The following is a 19,959-nucleotide window of genomic DNA, read 5'->3' on the forward strand; positions in this document are numbered from 1 at the left end:
CCATCTGTAAAAAGAATGGTTGGATGAGAATAATAAGAAGATTCATGCATTTATTTAGCAAAACTGGACTGCATGACAGTGCTTATATCATGCACCAGGCTCTGTTCTAGATTCTAACCTCGTTCATCCTCACAGCAACATTATGCAAAAGTACTATTATCATCTCCATTCTCTAGGTGAGGACGTTGAAGCACAGAGACATTAAGTCACTTGCCCGAAGTCACACGGCTAAGATTCAGACCTGGAGAGCCTGGCTCTGGAACGCACACTCTGAATCTGTAGGCTGCCTGTTGGGTACAGTGTTTGGTTTAGAGTTGTGCTCAAGAAACAGTAATTCTGAGGCCAGGCAAAATGGCTCATGCCTGTAATCCCAGCACTTTAGGAGGCCGAGGTGGGTGGATCACTTGAGGTCAGGAGTTCAAGACCAGCCTGGCCAATATGGCAAAACTCCATCTCTACTAAAATACAAAAATTAGCTGGGCATGGTGGCAGGCGCCTGTAATCCCAGCTACTCGGGAGGCTGAGGCAGGAGAATCGCTTGAACCCAGGAGGTGGAGGTTGCAGTGAGCCAAGATTGCGCCACTGCTCTCCAGCCTGGGCAACAGAGCAAGACTCTGACACACACACACACACAAAAGAAAGAAAAAGAAAATGAAAAAAGAAAAAAAAGGAAATGACCAGCCTGACCAACAAGGAGAAACCCCATCTCTACTAAAAATACAAAACTAGCCGGGCGTGGTGGCGCATGCCTGTAATCCTAGCTACTTAGGAGGCTGAGGCAGGAGAATTGCTTGAATCCAGGAGGCAGAAGTTGCGGTGAGCCGAGATCGTGCCATTGCACTCCAACCTGGGCAACAAGAGCAAAACTCCGTCTCACAAAAAAAAAAAAAAAAAAAAAAGGAAATGGTAATTCTAATTTCCTCCTTTGACAACCCAGCTGTGGTTAGCCCCATCTGGCAGCTGTGGAAACTGAGGCTCAGTGAGAGAGAGGACACGGGGGAAGGCAGGGCACCCCCGGAGCCCAGGTGTGTGTCACACCAGCATCTGGGCTTGTCACTGTGATGCAGCATCTGGGCTTGTCACTGTGATGCAGCATCTGAGCTTGTCACTGTGATGTGGCATCTGGGCTTGTCACTGTGATGCAGCAGTGTCCTTCCAGCCCTGACTGATGGGGTCCCCATGGCAGACGGAGGCCTTCCTCTCTCAGTCCACCCAGGTGCTTTCTTACCTGCACGATGTAGTCACAATCTTCCACCTCGAACGCAATGTCCTTCACTCCGTCACCGTGTTTCACCAGGTGATCGCCCATCTCTGTGGCCGGCAGGGAGAGGATGGCACTGGAGTCTGGAGTCTAGGTCCCCTCACCTGGCTTTTAGTCTCCATCCAGGCCCTGAACCCAGAGCCCACCCACGGAGCCATGCGTCCACCCTCCCAGAACCCAGATCCCACCCACAGAGCCATGCGTCCACCCTCCCCGGGCACCTCACCTTTGTTCCAGGGGTTGAGCGCTGAGGAGAGGACAAACACAATCTAAGATAGGAGGAGAAGGAGGTGAGGCTAGTGGCTCAGGGGGGCATGGGGAGGTGCACCCATCGGCCCCTCCCTGCCGACCCGAAACACCCCTGATGGAGCACAAGAACTCCTGGACCTGGGTTCTAGCTCCTTCTCTGCCTTAGTTTCCCACACTGGTCCTGAGGGATGGGGCTTTCAGCCAGACCCCCTCTGGATCCTCAGAGGAACTGCTAGGTCAGGTCTCCCTCGGGGAGAGAACTCCAGGGACCCCATCGGTCAGGGCACTGCTTAAAATTCCTCTCCTCTGATATCCCAGGTTTTCTGAGCACCTGTGGGGTCAGTGTTGGGCCAGGCTGAGGAGGAAACGAAACTAGGAAGGGCCGTGTTGCATGGCTGTACAAAGATGCCAGCGGAGGGGTCGGTGGGAGCTGAATTATATGTTTTTGTTGTTGTTGTTGGGGTTTTTTGTTGTTTTTTGTTTTTTTTTGTTGAGATGGAGTCTTGCTCTGTCGCCCAGGCTGGAGTGCAGTGGCACGACGTTGGCTCACTGCAACCTCTGCCTCCCGGGTTCAAGCGATGTGCCTGCCTCAGCCTCCTGAGTAGCTGGGATTACAGGTGCCCACCATCATGCCCAGCTAATTTTTCTATTTTTAATAGAGATGGGGTTTCACCATGTTGGCCAGGCAGGGGTTGGGGGCTGTCCTGGGGGTGGTGACTCACCTTCCCTTGTTTGATTACATGGCTGACCACCTCCCGGGAACCGGTCTCCAGGCCCCTGTAGGCTAGAGGTTCAAAGCCCATCTTGCTGCAGTAGAATGACGTGGCCTGAATCACAGGGTTGCAGCAGGGTTCATGAGGGTCAAGGGGCCAGCATGGGGGACTTCCGCAAGAGAGCCCCTGGCCCCCCTCAGCCTGCCTGCCCTATTGCCTCAGGGGCAGAGACCCTCCTGGGAAGATAGACTGCTGCCTGCACATTTTGCTGACAGATAACTTTCCCGCTGGTGTAATTAGGATTCAGAGTATCTGGCCCACCCCTGGCCTGATCCTCCCTCCCAAGGGCCAATCACAGACCCTGCTGGAGGCCTGCCCTTGTCAGGCAGCCCTCTGCCCTGCCGTCTGCTCACTCCAGCACCTTGCCCCGGCTTCTACCTGCTTGGCGTTGCCAACCCAGAAGGTCACAGAGTGGAAGTGGAGGAATCGGCCTCTCTCAGGCTGCAGAAGGAGAGAAGAGGTGAGGTTGAGTCCCTGAAAGTGAGTCTAGAAAAGTGCGGGTGGAGTGATGTCCCCTAGCCACCCTCCTTATTCCAGCCTCAACCACAGAACTTAGGAGCAGCGGAACCCCATGCAGCCTTGCCAAGCCTCAAAAGAGGTTTCTCATGTGGAAGTTGAGCTCCTGGGTGTCTTGGATGGGGAAACCCCCTCAGGAGGCCTGCCAAGGTTTCACACAGGGAAATAGACTTATGTTGCAGCAATATGGATTTAAGTTAGACCTTAGAAAGAACTTCCAGATGGGATTAAAAGATTGGCAGGCATTTGAGAAGGGGTACAGGTTTTGTTTTGGTTTTTGTTTCTGAGATGGAGTTTTGCTCTATTGCCCAGGCTGGAGTGGAGTGCAGTGGTGCAATCTTGGCTCACTGCAACTTCCGCCTCCCAGGTTCAAGCGATCCTAGGGTTCAAGTGATCTCCCCCACCTTAGCCTCCTGAGTAGCTGGGATTACAGGGGTGCGCTACCATGCCCGGCTAATTTTCGTATTTTTAGTAGAGACGGGGTTTCCTCATGTTGACCAGGCTGGTCTCGAACTCCTGACCTCAAGTATTTGCCTGCCTTGGCCTCCCAAAGCACTGGGATTACAGGCATGAGCCACCATGCCCGGCCAGGATACAAGTTTGTTGTGAGGGTGAGGTTGAGTCCAGCTCAGTCTCGGGGAGCCCCGGGGGTAAAGCTGAGTGTGCAGGCATGCACGTCATGTATCCACTCCAGTCCTTCCTCTTCTGCTCTCTGCTGAAACCCCAGTCTCCCTGCACTCCGACCCCCTTCTAGACTCAGGCCCCTACATTTCCCACATTTCGCCTGCTTACCTTTGCCCCTTTGTCACTGTAAGTCGTCTAAGGAGAAAAAGAAGGACAGTGAGACTTGGAGGTTCCAACACAAGGTGCTTCTGGAAGCGTTACTGAAGATGTCCCACCCAAGGGGAGATGGCCATGGCACTTACCATGATTGATCTTAGTCAAACCTCCTACTGGGACTAGAGGCCTGGGGAGTGCTGGGCCGGAGTATTTAACCCCAAGCAGGTCCCGCCCAGGCCTCCTGGCCTACCTGGGGGATGGGGTGGGGAGCTGAGCCCAGCCCTGGAAGGTTCCAGGCCTGGGGACCTCTGATCCAGCCGCAGCCTCATTGAACAGGATGGTGTTGCCAGGCCCAGAGAGGGGCAGTGACGTCCACTAGTCAGTGGGAGGCAGAGTCAGGGCCAGAAGCCAAGGGCAAGCTTTTCCAGGACGCTGGGAATGTGACCATTACTGCCCAGAATCCAAAGCTCAGAAGCCAAGGCCGGCTGGAGTGCAGTGGCGGCTCCAGAACTCTTGCCTAGAGGAAATTTGAGGGGGCATTTGGAGACTGGCCCCAAAGTCCTGTTTGCGTCACAGCGTTGTATTCCATAGCTCTGAGAGGCACGGCAGGAGAAGGTTTGCATCCTGGCTCTGTTACATACAGTGTGACTTGGGAAAATCACCATATCCCTTTGAGCCTCATTTGTAAAACAGGAATGAGAATAGTGTGGTGGGGATTAAAGGAGATAAGCACGCTCTTTGGAACAGGACCTGGCACACAGGACACTCTCAGTGTTGGTTATAATTCATTGGGACAGAGAACATTCCTAGGCCATGAGGTCAGCAAGCGGCAGGGAAGAACTGGAACATGAACCGGGCTATTCTAACTCCAGGACCCACACTTTAAATTGCTAGATTGCCCTCTATACAAATGGGAGATATTGATATCCCCATCAGATGGGGAAACTGAGGCCTGGAGAGGTGAACACATGTCTCCCAGGTCATGGAACTGGTAAGAGCAGAGCCCCAAACTCTGGCCTGTTTGATTCTGAAGTTGGATCTCATTGCACCAGTGCAGACCACTTCTCCCTCCTTTTCTCTATTTTCTGGGCCATTCAGGAGGCAGGCAAGGTGGTCCCACCCCCTTATTCTGCCTGTCCTGGGCCTGCCCAGTGTGCTCCCAGTGTCCACCTCAGCTCCTTAAGTCTAAATTTCCAACTGGGGGCCGGGGGTGGTGGCTCACGCCTGTAATCCCAGCACTTTGGGAGGCCAAGGAGGGAGGATCACTTGAGGCCAGGAGTTTGAGACCAGCCTGGCAACATGGTAAAACCTCATCTCTACTAAAAATACAAACATTAGCTGGGCACGGTGGTGCACGTCTGTAGTCCCAGCTACTCAGGGGACTGAGGCAGGAGGATCACTTGAACCAAGGAGGCAGAGATTGCAGTGAGCAGTGATCATGCCACTGCCCTCCAGCCTGGGTGACAGAGTGAGACTCCATCTCAAATAAATAAATAAATATCCAACTGGGAAAACTTGAGTGGAGGTGGCCCAGGGTGGATCTCACAGGCCCAGAAGGTTCCCATGGAGGAGAAGAGCTCTGTGTAGCCTGCCTATCCCCTCCAGGCCAGCAGGAACATCTTGTCACTTTGATTGCTGTGGCCAACTCAAACCCCCACTCCTGGAGCCTGCCCTGGCTTATATGCTAAGCACAAAGGCCAATGTTTACTAACTCAAGGAAGTGTGTCAACAGCAGTGGGTTGCAAAGGCTGGCAGGCATCTAGAGGTAGGAACTCTGTCCCCAACACTGTAGGTCTCAGTCCCATGCTGGGTGCACCCCTAGATGCCATTCACATGTCTGGGCAGAGAGCAGGGAGGCAAGCCTGCAGGGCCCAGTATCCAGAGTCCCCTCCCTGATGCTCTCTGTTCAGGCTGGGCTCCACTGGATAACAGATCAGCAGTGGCTGGGTGTGACTGTCTCTGTTCTTCATGCCCGACCATGCAGAGGTGGGTTCCAGAGGCCTTGCTCAAGAAGCTCACTGATCAGATGGGTTCATAGGACGCATCCTTGAAAATACCCTGGTGTGCAGAAAAGCATTCACCTAGCTGGGCCTGGTAGTGAGCACCTGTAGTCCCCAGCCACTCAGGAGGCTGAGGTGGGAGGATCACTTGAGTCCAGGAGTTAAAGGTTGCAGTGAGCTATGATCACGCCACTGCACTCTAGCCTGGGGAACAGGGTGAGAACTTGTATCAAAAATAGATAAGGCAGGGCCCAGTGGCTCACACCTGTAATCCTAGCACTTTGGGAGGCCGAGGAGGGAGGATCACTTGAGGTTAGGTGTTCGAGACCAGCCTGGCCAACATGGTGAAACCCTATCTCTACTAAAAATACAAAAATTAGCCTGGATGCAGTGGCTCATGCCTATAATCCTAGCACTTTAGGAGGCTGAGGCGGGTGGGTCACCTGAGGTCAGGAGTTTGAGACCAGCCTGACCAATATGGTGAAACACCGTCTCTACTAAAAATACAAAAATTAGCTGGGCATGGTGGCAGGCACCTGTAGTCCCATCTACTTGGGAGGCTGAGACAGGAGAATTGCTTGAACCCAGGAGGTGGAGGTTGCAGTGAGCCGAGATCATGCCACTGCACTCCAGCCTGAGCAACAGAGTAAGACTCTGTCTCAAAAAAAAAAAAAAAATTAGCTGGGTGTGGTGGTGTGTGCCTGTAATCCCACCCAGCTACTTGGGAGGCTGAGGCAGGAGAATCACTTGAACCCAGGAGGTGGAGGTTGCAATGCGAGATTGTGCCACTGCGCTCCAGCCTGGGCGACAGAATGAGACCCTGTCTCAAAATAAAGAAATAAGTAAGTAAGTAAGTAAATAAAATGGAACAAGTCTCAGTTACTGATAGTTCTTACTATAGTGTTTGCTAATATTACAGCTTCTGGAAAAAAACATGAAAAAGAGGCAATCTCTAAATGGAGATACACTTTCAGGGTTTTAAAAAGCAGTTTTTAGTTGCTAATGAGCCCTTGTGAAACCACACAGCTGACCCTTAGAGTCATGATTTTCTAGCTGATAGGGATCTTTTTACAGGCGTCCACCCGGGCTCTGAAACTGACAGACTTAAAGGGCTTAAGAAAGCCTCGCTTCGCTCTTAGCCTCGAGACAAACAGTCTCTTGGCTTAGCTACTGCAGAAGAAAATCCTGAATTCACGAATTCTAGTTTTCCAAACCTGATCCCAAGCTGAAAGCTCTGCAAGGGGACGGTTGCTTGAGCCCAAGAGGTCGAGGCTGCAATGAGCTATGATCGCACCACTGCACTCCAGCCTCGGTGACAGAGTGAGACCCTGTCTTAAAAAAAGAGAAAAAAAAATGCTGAAACCTGATGCTGTCTGCTGTGAGCTGTTTCAGTGTCAGCATGAATTCTGCCAAACTAAAAAAATGGGCAAAATTGCTCCACTCAACACACAGGACTTTAACTCTAGGACCCTGGCAGATTAGAGACATCCCTCCCTGGGGCCATATGCTGTGCAAACATCGTGGATGCTGCTGGACAGTGTGGGTCACTTACAGATGTCCATGATGAAAGAGTTCCTCTCTAATGGGACCATTTACATTGGGCTGCTCTTCAGCTCTGCATTTCTTTTTTTTTTTTTTTTGAGACGGAGTCTCGCTCTTGCTGCCCAGGCTGGAGTGCAATGGTGCGATCTCGGCTTATTACAACCTCCGCCTCCCAGGTTCAATCGATTCTCCTGTCTCAGCATCCCAAGTAGCAGGGATTACAGGCATGTGCCACCACGCCCAGCTAATTTTGTATTTTTAGTAGAGATGGGGTTTCACCATGTTGGTCAGGCATGTCTCGAACTCCTGACCTCAGGTGATCTGCCCACCTCGGCCTCCCAAAGTGCTGGGATTACAGGCGTGAGCCACCGCTCTCGGCCTTTTTTTTTTTTTTTTTTTTTTTTTTTTTGAGACAGAGTCTCCCTCTGTGGCCCAGGCTGGAGTGCAGTGGCGTGATCTTGGCATCTCGGCTCAATGCAAGCTTTTTTTTTTTTTTTTTTTTTTTTTAGGCTGGAGTGCAATGGTGCAATCTCGGCTCACTGCAAGCTCCACCTCCAAGGTTCACGCCATTCTCCTGCCTCAGCCTCCGGAGTAGCTGGGAATACAGGCACCTGCCACCTGGCTCAGCTAATGTTTTGTATTTTTAGTAGAGATGAGGTTTCACCGTGTTAGCCAGGATGGTCTCAATCTCCTGACCTCGTGATTCGCTCGCCTTGGCCTCCCAAAGTGCCGGGATTATAGGCGTGAGCCACCGCGCCCGGCACCCCCCCTCCTTTTTTTTTTTTTAAGATGGTCTTGGGATGTCTCCCAAGCTGAAGTGCAATGGCGTGATCTCTGCTCACTGCAACCTCCGCCTCCTAGGTTCAAGTGATTCTCCCGCCTCAGTCTCCCAAGTAGTTAAGACTACAGGCATGCGCCACCACACCAAGCTAATTTTTGTATTTTTTATCAGAGACAGGGCTTCGCCATGTTGGCGAGGCTGATCTCGAACTCTTGGCCTCAGGTGATCTTCCCGCCTCGGCCTCCCAAAGTGCTGGGATTACAGGCGTGAGCCACTGCGCCCAGCCAGCTCTGCATTTCTGGTGCTGATTCCTTCCTAACTTGTGATTCCTGCCCAAAGCAACAAGCCGAGAGAGGGTACATCACAGGGACCGTGATCCTTCCACGCACTCCTTCAGACTGGACTCTCAAAACTCCCCACCAAATGTTTCACTGCAGTTGATCGTTGTGTCTGACTTTCTCAATTCGTTGCAATTTGCAACAATGGACTAATAGCCTGATTCTCCTTCCCGCATCTTTGTCCTGACGTACTCACCTTAGTAAGGCTGTCTGTTAAATGCAACTGTCCCTCAAAAGGCATTATTTCTTCTATGCTGCTCACTACAGAAATGATCAGAATGAAAAGCATTGGTGGCGAGCCAGGAGCAGTGGCTGACACCTGTAATCCCAGCACTTTAAGAGGCTGAGATGGGGGGATCCCTTGAGCCCAGGAGTTCAAGGGTACAGTGAGCTATAATTGCACCACTGCACTTCAGCCTGGGCAGCAGAATGAGACCCTGTCTCTAAAAGAAAAAAAAAAAGAAAGAAAAGGGTGGAGAGTTATATAAGCCCATTTTGGAAATTTGTGAAAATCCAGGATTTTGCCCCTTCCACTTCCTGAACCTGAAATGAAGCTTTCTGGTTAAGTTGTATAAAAATGTTTTTCTGTGAAAAGGTTTTTGTCCCTCTTGGCTGGGCACGGTGGCTCATGCCTGTAATCCCAGCACTTTGGGAGGCCAAGGCAGGCAGATCATTTGAGGTCAGGAATTTGAGACCAGCCTGGCCAACATAGCGAAACCCTGTTTCTACTAAAAATACAAAAAAAAAAAAAAAAAAAAAAATTAGCTGGGCATGGTGGTACACACCTGTAATCCTAGCTACTCAGGAGGCTGAGGCAGGAGAATCACTTGAACCCGGGAGGCAGGGTTCATTGAGCTGAGATCGTGCCACTGCACTCCAGCCTGGCGACAGAGCAAGACTCTGTCACACAAAAAAAAGAAAAAATATCTTATTAAAGCCAGGTACAGTGGCTCATACCTGTAATCCCAGCACTTTGGGAGGCGGAGGCAGGAGGATCACTTGAGGCCAGGGGTTCAAGACCAACCTGGGCAACCTAGTGAGACCCTGTCTCTACAAAAAGTTTAAAAAGTAGCCGGCTATAGTGGTGCATGCCCGTAGTCCCAGCTACTCAGGAGGCTAAGTGGGGAAGATCTCTTGAGCCCAGGAGCTTAAGACTGAAGTGAGCTATGATTGTACCATTGTACTCCAGCCTGGGCAACAGAGGGAGGCCCTGACTATTAAAAAAAAAAAAAAAATGGCCGGGCGCAGTGGCTCACGTCTGTAATCCCAGCACTTTGGGAGGCCAAGGCAGACGGATCACGAGGTCAGGAGATCGAGACCATCCTGGCTAACATGGTGAAACCCCGTCTCTACTAAAAATACAAAAAATTAGCCAGGCATGGTGGCAGGCGCCTGTAGTCCCAGCTACTTGGGAGGCTGAGGCAGGAGAATGGAGTGAACCCGGGGCGCGGAGCTTGCAGTGAGCCAGGATTGCACCACTGCACTCCAGCCTGGGCGACAGAGTGAGACTCCGTCTCAAAAACAACAACAACAACAACAACAACAACAAAAAACTCCTGTTATAGACAATACCCACATTAATTCCCATCCTCAATTTTAAGGCTATTATCACTTCCACTGGTTCATCTTAGGGTAGAAAATATTATAAACGTCTGGGCATATTGGCTCACGCCTGTAATCCCAGCACTTTGGGAGGCTGAGGTGGGTGGATCACTTGAGGTCAGGAGTTCGAGACCAGCCTAGTCAACATGGTGAAACCCCGTCTCTACTAAAAATACAAAAATTAGCTGGGCATGATGGCGGGCACCCGTAGTTTCGGCTACTCGGGAGGGTGAGGCAGGAGAATCGCTTGAACCTGGGAGTCGGAGGCTGCAGTGAGCTGAGATCATGCCAGTGCACTCTAACCTGGGCGACACAGCGACACTCTCTTTCTTTCTTTCTTTCTTTCTTTGAGACAGAGTTTCGCTTTTGTTGCCCAGGCTGGAGTGCACTGGCATGATCTCAGCTTACTGCAACCTCCGCCTCCCGGGTTCAACCAATTCTCCTGCCTCAGCCTCCCAAGTAACTGGGATTATGGGTGCCCGCCACCACACCCGGCTATTTTTTGTATTTTTAGTAGAGATGGGGTTTCGTCATGTTGGCCAGGCTGGTCTCACACCCTGACCTCACGTGATCTGTCCGCCTTGGCCTCCCAAAGTGCTGGGATTACAGGCATGAGCCACTGTGCCCAGCCACGACACTCTCTTTCAAAAAAAAGGAAAAAAAAAAAGAAAGAAAATATTATAAACAAAGTAATCTAAAGTAATCTAAGTATCCATCAACAGGAGATTGGCTTAATACAATAAAACATTAACTATTAAAAATAATCAAGAGGCTGGGTGTGGTGGCTCATGCCTGTAATCCCAGCACTTTGGGAGGCCAAAGCGGGAGGATCACCTGAGGTCAGGAGTTCAAGGCCAGCCTGGGCAACATGGCGAAACCCCATCTCTACTAAAAAAATAAAAAGAGCTGGGCGTAGTGTTGGGCGCCTGTAATCCCATCTACTCGAGAGGCTGAGGCACAAATTGCTTGAACCTCAGAGGTGGAGGTTGCGGTAAGCCTAGATTGAGCCACTGCACTCCAGCCTGGGCAACAGAGTGAGACTCTGTTTTTTAAAAAACAAAGCAAAACAAAACAAAAAGGTGGGGCGCCGTGGCTCACGCCTGTACTCCTAGCACTTTGGGAGGCCGAGGTGGTTGGATCACGAGGTCGGGAGATCGAGACCATCCTGGCTAACACGGTGAAACCCTGTCTCTACTAAAAATACAAAAACAAAATTAGCCAGGCATGGTGGCAGGCGCCTGTAGTCCCAGCTACTCGGGAGGCTGAGGCAGGAGAATGGTGTGAACTCGGGAGGCAGAGCTTGCAGTGAGCAGAGATCTTGCCACTGCACTCCAGCCTGGGGGACACAGCGAGACTCCGCCTCAAAAAAAAAAAAAAAAGAATAAATAAACTTTCTAGATGTTCTAGATGGTGATGGGAAAAAGCTCTAAGATATGTTACGTTTAAAAAAAAAAAGGCACGGAGCAGTGTATATAAGTTACCATTTGTGTAAAAAAAAAACCCCACAGTTTACAGATGGTTTTAATTTTGTTCTTACAGTTTATTTGAATTTTCCACAGTACAAAACATGCCAACGGTTCTCAGCCATTTGACGGAGTTTAAATAAAGAGAACCAATGCAACCTTGCCATTTGGAATCTTCTGCTGTTGGGAGCACCCCAAGCTTAGTGACTTCAGGGTTTATTTCATACTTCTCTGCACATCTAGTTGGCCTTTCTGGTTCTGCAGCAAAGTCTATTTACATGTTTTACATCATAATTTACATGATTTAAGATTTTGTAAATATGGCTTCTATTTGTTGAGCTATAACTTACACAGAGTGAAATTCATAGAACTGTACACTGAAAAGAGTATTTCAGCGTACAGTTCTATGAATTTTGAAAACATATACAGTTGCATAACTATGACCTCAATCAAGATACAGGACAATTCCATTACCCCAAAATGTAATCACCACAAATCCACCCTCGCTGTGCACCTTTGTCCTCAATCCACCCTCATCCCAACCCCTGGCAACCACTGATCTATTTTCTTTCCTTACAGCTTTGCCTTTTCTAGAATGTCATATAAATGAATCAAGCAGTATGTAGCCTTTTCAGTCTTGCTTCATTCACCCAACAAAATACATTTGAGGCCGGGTGTGGTGGCTCACGCCTGTAATCCCAGCACTTTGGGAGGCGGAGGTGGGCAGATCACCTGAAGTCAGGAATTCAAAAACCAGTCTGGCCAACATGGCAAAACCCCATCTCTACTAAAAATACAAAAATTAGCTGGGTATGGTGGCACGCATCTGTAGTCCCAGTGACTCAGGAGGCTGACGCATGAGAATCGCTGGAACCCAGGATGTGGAGGCTGCAGTGAGCCAAGATTGCACCACTGCACTCCAGCCTGGGAGACAGAGAGAGACCCTGTCTCAAAAAAAAAAAAAAAAAATTGAGATTCATCCACGTTGATGCTTGCATCCAGACTTTACTTTCTTGTTTTTCTTTTCTTTTCTTTTTTTTTTAGACAAGGTCTCACTCATTCTGTTACCTAGGCTGGAATGCAGTGGGACTACAGGCACACACCAACATGACTGGCTAAATTGTTTTTTTTGAGACGAATTCTCACTCTGTCACCTAGGCTAGAGTGCAGTGGTGTGATCTTGGCTCACTGCAACCTCCACCTCCCAGGTTCAAGTGATTCTCCTGCCTCAGCTTCCCGAGTAGCTGGGATTACAGGTGCACATCACCATGCCTGGCTAATTTTTGTATTTTTAATAGAGACAGGGTTTTGCCATGTTGGCTCGGCTGGTCTCTAACTCCTGACCTCAAGTGGTCCGCCTGCCTCGGCCTCCCAAAGGGAGGGACCCCTGGGATTACAGGTGTCAGCCACCGTGCCCGACACCACTGGCTAAATTTTTGTTTGTTTGTTTGTAGAGTCAAGGTTTTGCTATGTTGCCCAGGCTGGTCTTGAACTCCTGGCTTCAAGAAATTCTCCCACCTTGGCCTCCCAATATGTTGGCATTATAGGTGTGAGCCACAGTGCCCCGCCCAAACTTTGTTTCTCTCTATTGCTGAGCAGTGTTTCATTGTATGCTTGTGCCAGAGTTTAATACTGCTCATTGGCCAGGCACAGTGGCTCATGCTTATAATGCCAGCACTTTCAGAGGCTGAGGCAGGAGGATCACTTGAGCCCAGGAGGTCAAGGCTGCAATGATCACTTCACTGCACTCCAGCCTGGGTGACACAGCGAGACCCTGTTCCCAAAAAAATGAAAACCCAAACAAACAACACTGCTTAGTTGCTTTCTGTAATCAGCCTATTAACAAATCAAGGGAGAATGAGTCTTGGTTACAAAACAGAATACAAATGTGAAGGGTTAGAGAACAGAAGCTGGGCAATACACTTCCTCATCTTTTTTTGTTTTGTTTTGTTTTGTTTTTTGAGACGGAGTCTTGCACTGTTGCCCAGGCTGGAGTGCAGTGGCGCGATCTCGGCTCACTGGCCTCAAGTGATCCTCCCGTCTCAGCCTCCCAAAGTGCTGGGGTTACAGGTGTGAGTCAACACACCCAGCCCTTTGCCTGTCTATTTCTTTCTTTTTTCTTTTTTTTTTTTTTTTTGAGATGGAGTCTTGCTCTGTCCCCCAAGCTGGAGTGCAGTGGCAAAATCTTGGCTCACTGCAGCCTCTGCCTCCCAGGTTCAAGTGATTCTCCTGCCTCAGCCTCCTGAGTAGCCTGGGATTACAGGCCTGTGCCCCCATGCCCAGCTAGTTTTTATATTTTTATTAGACATAGAGTTTCACCATGTTGGCCAGGCTGGTCTCAAACTCCTGGCCTCAAATGATCCACCTGCCTCAGCCTCCCGAAGTGCTGGGATTACAGGCATGAGCCACCATGCCCGGCCCCTTTGCCTATTTCTTAATCGAATTATAGTCTTTTTATTATTGAGCTATAAGAGTTCTCTTTGTTTGTTTTCTTACTTTTGAGGCAGACTCTCGCCCTATCATCCAGGCTGGAGTGCAAGTGCAGTGGCACGATCATATTTCACTGTAACCTCAACCTCCCTGGCTCCAGCGATCCTCCCAGCTCAGCCTTCCAAGTAGTTGGGACTACAGGCATGTGCCACTGTGCCCAGCCAATTAAAAACAATTTTTTGGCTGGGTGTGGTGGCTCATGCCTGTAATCCTAGCACTTTGGGAGGCCGAGGCGGATCACTTGAGGTCAGGAGTTCGAGACCAGCCTGGCCAACATGGTGAAACCCTGTCTGTACTAAAAATACAAAAATTAACCGGACATGGTGGCAGACGCCTATAATCCCAGCTGCTCAGGAGACTGAGGCAGGAGAATCGCTTGAACCTGGGAGACGGAGGTTGCAGTGAGCCAGGATCGCGCCATTGCCCTCCAGCCTGGGTGACAAGAGTGAAACTTCGTCTCAAAAAAAAAAAAAAAAAAAAAAAATTGGTGGATATGGGGTCTCACTATGTTGCCCAGGCTTGTCTTGAACTCCTGGGCTCAGGGGGTCCTCCCGCCAAAGTACTGGGATTATAGTCATGAGCCACTGGTGTGGAAAGAGTTCTTAATATATTCTAGATATAAATCCCTTATCGAATATATTTGGAAGTATTTTTTCCCCATTTTGTAGGTTTTCACTTTTTTTTTTTTAGTGCAGTGGCTCTCGGCCCACTGCAACCTCTGCCTCCTGGGTTCAAGAGATTCTCTTGCCTCAGCCTCCTGAGTAGCTAGGATTAAAGGCGCCCACCACCAGGCCCAACTAATTTTTGTGTTTTTAGTAGAGACAGGGTTTCACCATGTTGCCCAGGCTGGTCTCAAACTCCTGACCTCAAGTGATCCACCCACCTTGGCCTCCCAAAGTGCTGGAATTACTGGCGTGAGCCACCATGCCTGGCCTTCACTTTCTTAATTGTATTATTTTTAGTGCAACAGCTTTTAATTTTGATGAAGTCCAGCGTATCTACCTGTTCTTCAGTCACTTGTGCTTTAGTGTCCTAAGAAGTGGGCTGATTATTATTATTATTATTATTTTAGAGATGGGGTCTTCCTGTGTTGCCTAGGCTAACCTTGAACTCCTGGGCTCAAGCAGTCCTTCTGCCTCGGCCTTCCACAATGCTGGGATTACAGGCATGAACCACCACACCCAGCGTAAGCTGATTTTTTTTTTTTTTTTAGCTTAAAAGGAAAAAATCTTCTGCAGAAGGAACATGATTCACCAGATGGTTACCTCTGGAGGCAGCACACTTTTTCAAAATAATTAAAATAATGTTAACACAAACTAAATTCCCATTTTCTGGTCACTTTGTTTTATGTGCCAGGCACTGTACTAAGCACATTCCATGCTCTGCTCTTTACTCATTAAATCCACAACAACCCTGTTAAGTAGGTGCTCTCATATCCCCATTTCACAGATTAGAAGATGGAGGCTTACTAGCTAGGTGTGGTGGCGCATGCCTGTAATCCCAGCTACTAGGGAGGCTGAGGCGGGAGAACCACTTGAACCAGGAGGCGGAGGTTGCAGTGAGTGGAGATCGTGCCACTGCACTCCAGCCTGAGTGACACAGTAAGACTCTGTCTCAAAAAAAAAAAAAAAGAAGGCAAGGATGGGTGATCTCATTGTCAGGGGGTTTAGATTTTATCTTTGAGACAATAGGGAGCTATTGAAGGTTTTTTTTTTTTTTTTTTGAGACAGAGTTTCACTCTTGTTACTTAGGTTGGAGTGCAATGGCGGGATCTCAGCTCACCACAACCTCTGCCTCCTGGGTTCAAGCGATTCTCCTGCCTCAGCCTCCTGAGTAGCTGGGATTATAGGCATGTGCCACCACACCTGGCTAATTTTGTATTTTTAGTAGAGATGGGGTTTCTCCATGTTGGTCAGGCTGGTCGTGAACTCCCGACCTCAGTTGATCCGCCCGCCTCGGTCTCCCAAAGTGCTGGGATTACAGTCATGAGCCACCGCACCCGGCCTATTGAAGGTTTTATAGTAGAGATGCAACGTGATCAGAACATTAAAGCTTGCTCTGCTCTAGGTGAGCACAGGGAAGAGAGCTGGGCTGGAAACCCAGCTGCCCAGAGCTGCTGTGCCATTGCCCAGTGGCCTATTTGTGATTCTCCATTAGGTTTGGGGAAGATAAGTAAACCAAGAAGCTTTACATTTAAAAATTGGATCTAGGCTGTAATCCCCTCACTTTGGGAGGCCGAGGCAGACAGATCGCTTGAGCCTAGGAATTCAACATGACCCTGGGTAACATGGCAAAACCCCATTTCTACAAAAAAAAACCCCAAAATCAGCCAGGTGTGGTGGGGCACACCTGTAGTCCTAGCTGCTCAGGAGGCTGAGACGGGTGAATCGATTGAGCCCAGGAGGTTGAGGCTACAGTGAGCTGTGATTATGCCACTGCACTCCAGCCTGGGTGACAGAGTGAGACCCTGTCTCAATTAAAAAAAAAAAATGCATCTAAAAGCAGTCAAATAGCCCTGTGCTCTGCTTCCTGCAATCTACAACTGGAGACTCCCAAACAGGCAGAACTAGTGAGGATTCAGAGGCAGAAGTCCATGGACAGAACCTCACCCCTCCCCTGCCAGGCCCCACAGCTCTCCCAAGCAAGGGCAGCTGGGACCAGAGCAGGTGAAGGCTGGCCCGGGTGCCCAGCTAGTCTTGTTATCAGGGCTGGTGATCCTGGGCAGGGCCACTTAGGTGGGGCTGGTCTTTATCTCTTGAGGTACAGAGCCCATGTGTCTGAGCTTTGTGGTGACAGGAAGCTGTATCACCAGGCACCAGTGATGGCTGGGAGGGACCAGAGAGTTGGTGGCACGGGACATAGGACCCCTGGGCTCTGAAGACTGTGTAATCTTGGGCCACTCCTGGCATCCTCTGAGTCTTAGTGTCCTAACTGTGCAAGCCAGGGAGCACTGGAGCTGGTGTGGACCGTAGGATGTCCTCTGTTCCTGGCACCGGGGCATTGAGGAGTGTCCTGGAGATTTCTTTTCTCTCTTTTTTTTCTTTTTGAGATGGAGTCTCGGGCTGGGCGCGGTGGCTCACGACTGTAATCCCAGCACTTTGGGAGGCCGAGGCGGGTGGATCACAAGGTCAGGAGTTCAAGACCAGCCTGGCCAAGATGGTGAAACCCCGTCTCTACTAAAAATACAAAAAAAAAAAAAATTAGCTGGGCGTGGTGGTGGGCACCTGTAATCCCAGCCACTCAGGAGGCTGAGGCAGAGAATTGCTTGAACCTGGGAGGCGGAGGTTGCAGTGAGCCAAGATCACGCCACTACACTCCAGCCTGGGCGACAGAGCGAGACTCCTCTCAAAAAAAAAAAAGAGATGGAGTCTTGCTCTGTCGCCCAGGCTGGAGTGCAATGGTGCACTCCCACTGCAACCTCCGCCTCCCAGCTTCAAGTGATTCTCCTGCCTCAGCCTCCTGAGTAGCTGGGACTAACAGGAGCCCGCCACCAGGACCAGTTAGTTTCTTTTGTATTTTTAGTAGAGACGGGGTTTCACCATGTTGGCCAGTCTAGTCTTGAACTACTGACCTCAAGTGATCCACCTGCCTCAGCCTCCCAAAGCATTGGGATTGCAGGCATGAGCCACCGTGCCTGGCCTAAAATTTCTTGTCTCTCCAGCATCCACTCCTGTTCTCATAACAGCGTCTCCCTTCTCCATCCTTTCCCTGCTCCGTTCATGTCGTTTGGGTGGGGCATGTGAGCCAGGACTGGGCAGTGAGAATCCCTGTGATTGGTTCAGGGCTGGGCACCTGGCCAGAACTGGCCATATGGATTTGCTCTGGATCTTCTGCTTGAGAAAAGAGGCTCACTCTGAGCTCTGAGTATGCTGCACTGATCCAGTGGTGCTGCGGGGGCCAACCCTGAGTCAGCTGAAGGAAAACATGCTTGTATATAAAGCCAGAACAGAGAAACCAGAGCTGAGAGAAGATAGGCTGATTCCTGATGTCTGAGCAACTTGTTCCAGGCAGAAACAAGCTCCTGGATGAGTCAAACCTTTTTCCCTTTTGCTTAAGCTAGTTTGAGTTGGGTTTCTGGCATTTACAACCACTGGTGCTGACAAACACAAAGAAAGAAACAATAACACCACCACCATCTGTGAGCATGTATTCACTGTCAAGCACCGAGGTAGGGATCATGGGGATTGTCTGTTCCACAGGGAGGTAGTACTTGATCATTTTGTTTGCATTTGCTGGCACACATAAAATAAAGTTGACTGATTTTAGCAGTTTTTATTATTATTTTAAAACTCTCTGCAGACATTGCATCCCTGTGGTAGATTCTACTGTCCATAACCCTTCAAGGAAGGCCTCAATGCCCAGCTGTAGGGAGACTGGTTGGCTGTCACCTCCTATCGGATCTGCCTCAGCTGTAGAGACTTGGCCACAGCTTTCCCAGAGCAGCCCACTTTTTGTGATTGAGCAAGGGAGTAGAGAGGCTGGTCCCTTTCAGCCCAATGGGGGTGACTCTGACCAGTGAGTCTGTCTCCAGGGCCCCGGTAGGGCTGGCCAAGGCCTTGTGGAGTCTCCACCACTGAGTTCTCCTTCTCCCCAGTCCAGCCTCCTCTGCTTCCTTTCACTGATGTGGATCCTTAAAATCATTTTATGGCCGGGCGCGGTGGCTCACGCCTGTAATCCCAGCACTTTGGGAAGCTGAGGCGGGCGGATCACAAGGTCAGGAGATCGAGACCATCCTGGATAACACCATGAAACCCCATCTCTACTAAAAAAATACAAAAAATTAGCTGGGCGTGCTGGCGGGCGCCTGTGGTCCCAGCTACGCGGGAGGCTGAGGCAGGAGAATGGCGTGAACCCGGGAGGTGGAGCTTGCAGTGAGCCGAGATCGCGCCACTGCACTCCAGCCTGGGAGACAGAGACTCCGTCTCAAAAAAAAAAAATCATTTTATGGCCAGGCATGGCGGTTCACGCCTGTAATCCCAGCGCTTTGGGAGGCAGAGGCAGAGGATCGCTTCTGTCCAGGAGTTCAAGGCTGCAGTGGGCTATGATTTTGCCACTGCACTCCAGCCTGGGTGACAGAGCAAGACCCTGTCTCAAACAAAACAACAGCAAGAAAAAAATCTTGCACCCTAAGCTCTGTCTCATCCTCTGCTCCTAGACAACCCAACGCATGACAGCTCCCTTATGACTTGTACCTGATGGGGTGGGAAAGAGGTGATGGAGGCAGCACCCCCCGGTATATGCCACGGCTAAGCACTGTGCCCATTTTATCTCTCAGCTTTCTATTTTTCTCCTCTCATTTTGCAGATGAGGAACTTGAGATTCAAGAAGAGGAAGAATTGCCCAAATAACTTGTTCTTTGTGGCTAGAAAATGCTTACATGGAACTCACCAGGCCACATTCATATTACTATGTTTGTGATCATCCAAACATAAAACCAGTTCCTAGGCCGTGTGCGGTGGCTCACATCTGTAATCCTAGAATTTTGGGAGGCCGAGGTGGGTGGATCACCTGAGGTCAGGAGTTCGAGGCCAGCCTGGCCAACATGGTGAAACCCCCATCTCTGCTAAAAATACAAAAATTAGCTGGGCGTGGTGGCGGGCGCCTGTAATCCCAGCTACTTGGGAGGCTGAGGCAGGAGAATCGCTTGAACCTGGGAGGCAGAGGTTGCAGTGAGCCGAGATCACGCCATTGCACTCCAGCCTGGGCAACAAGAGCAAAACTCCATCTCAAAACAAACAAACAAGCAAACAAACAAAACCAAAAACAGTTCCTGCTTCCAAGATTTTAAGGCATTAACATCCATTTGGGAGATGTGTGCATGTGAAACATCCATTTGGGAGACACCTGAAACATCTGAACTTTCTTTGTCACTTTCTTTTTTTTTTTTTGAGACGTAGTTTCGCTCTTGTTACCCAGGCTGGAGTGCAATGGCACGATCTCTGCCCACCGCAACCTCTGCCTCCCGGGTTCAAGCGATTCCCTTGCCTCAACCTCCCGAGTAGCTGGGATTACAGGCATGTGCCACCACATCCGGCTAATTTTGTGTTTTTAGTAGAGAGGGGTTTCTCCATGCTGGTCAGGCTGGTCTCGAACTCCCAACCTCAGGTGATCTGTCTGCCTCAGCCTCCCAAAGTGCTGGGATTACAGGCGTGAGCCACCGTGCC

General features: G+C 50.0%; 1 protein-coding gene and 1 long non-coding RNA gene across 3 annotated transcripts in view, besides 5 other annotated features; one reads left to right on the top strand and one right to left on the bottom strand.

Moving 5' to 3' along the window:
* HPD (4-hydroxyphenylpyruvate dioxygenase) overlaps nt 1–19,959 on the bottom strand; it is a 49,085-nt gene that overhangs the window by 15,569 nt on the left and 13,557 nt on the right. Inside the window, exons 2-8 of one of the 2 annotated variants that reach the window (NM_001171993.2) lie at nt 8,437–8,501; nt 3,830–4,096; nt 3,592–3,618; nt 2,662–2,724; nt 2,233–2,337; nt 1,488–1,530; nt 1,229–1,311 (exon numbers count right to left, since the gene is read on the bottom strand). In NM_001171993.2, coding sequence (NP_001165464.1) covers nt 1,229–1,311; nt 1,488–1,530; nt 2,233–2,313 — 207 coding nt within the window. In that variant the 5' untranslated portion in view covers nt 2,314–2,337; nt 2,662–2,724; nt 3,592–3,618; nt 3,830–4,096; nt 8,437–8,501. Of the gene's footprint in view, nt 1–1,228; nt 1,312–1,487; nt 1,531–2,232; nt 2,338–2,661; nt 2,725–3,591; nt 3,619–3,725; nt 3,765–3,829; nt 4,097–8,436; nt 8,502–19,959 lie in introns of those variants that run through there. The other variant, NM_002150.3, reaches the window with a different exon arrangement.
* Nucleotides 686–1,885: an enhancer, noted in NCBI's record as "MED14-independent group 3 enhancer chr12:122293687-122294886 (GRCh37/hg19 assembly coordinates)". NCBI's record gives its function as "activates an origin of replication core promoter dependent on BRD2, BRD4, P300/CBP and CDK7 cofactors, and independent of MED14, by STARR-seq in HCT116 cells {active_cell/tissue: HCT116}" and the evidence as "EXISTENCE:reporter gene assay evidence [ECO:0000049][PMID:35650434]".
* Nucleotides 701–880: a silencer, noted in NCBI's record as "fragment chr12:122293702-122293881 (GRCh37/hg19 assembly coordinates)". NCBI's record gives its function as "represses an EF-1alpha promoter that drives an FKBP-Casp9 reporter gene in an ReSE screen in phorbol 12-myristate 13-acetate-treated (for megakaryocytic differentiation) K562 erythroleukemia cells {active_cell/tissue: K562(+PMA)}" and the evidence as "EXISTENCE:reporter gene assay evidence [ECO:0000049][PMID:32094911]".
* Nucleotides 1,158–19,242, top strand: TIALD (transcript inducer of AURKA lysosomal degradation). Its single transcript, XR_002957437.2, has 3 exons — nt 1,158–1,551; nt 2,524–2,743; nt 19,100–19,242. It is a non-coding gene; the product is annotated as a transcript inducer of AURKA lysosomal degradation (long non-coding RNA).
* Nucleotides 4,906–5,423: an enhancer, noted in NCBI's record as "H3K27ac-H3K4me1 hESC enhancer chr12:122297907-122298424 (GRCh37/hg19 assembly coordinates)". NCBI's record gives its function as "activates a minimal SCP1, AML or CMV promoter by ChIP-STARR-seq in naive H9 embryonic stem cells {active_cell/tissue: H9 hESC(naive)}" and the evidence as "EXISTENCE:reporter gene assay evidence [ECO:0000049][PMID:30033119]".
* Nucleotides 5,424–5,940: an enhancer, noted in NCBI's record as "H3K27ac hESC enhancer chr12:122298425-122298941 (GRCh37/hg19 assembly coordinates)". NCBI's record gives its function as "activates a minimal SCP1, AML or CMV promoter by ChIP-STARR-seq in naive H9 embryonic stem cells {active_cell/tissue: H9 hESC(naive)}" and the evidence as "EXISTENCE:reporter gene assay evidence [ECO:0000049][PMID:30033119]".
* Nucleotides 6,928–7,222: a silencer, noted in NCBI's record as "tiled region #2080; K562 Repressive non-DNase unmatched - State 3:PromF". NCBI's record gives its function as "represses a minimal TATA promoter and a strong SV40 promoter by Sharpr-MPRA in K562 cells {active_cell/tissue: K562}" and the evidence as "EXISTENCE:reporter gene assay evidence [ECO:0000049][PMID:27701403]".

The sequence above is a fragment of the Homo sapiens genome, chromosome 12, assembly GCF_000001405.40.
Source record: "Homo sapiens chromosome 12, GRCh38.p14 Primary Assembly".
In the NCBI taxonomy this organism is placed as follows: domain Eukaryota; kingdom Metazoa; phylum Chordata; class Mammalia; order Primates; family Hominidae; genus Homo; species Homo sapiens.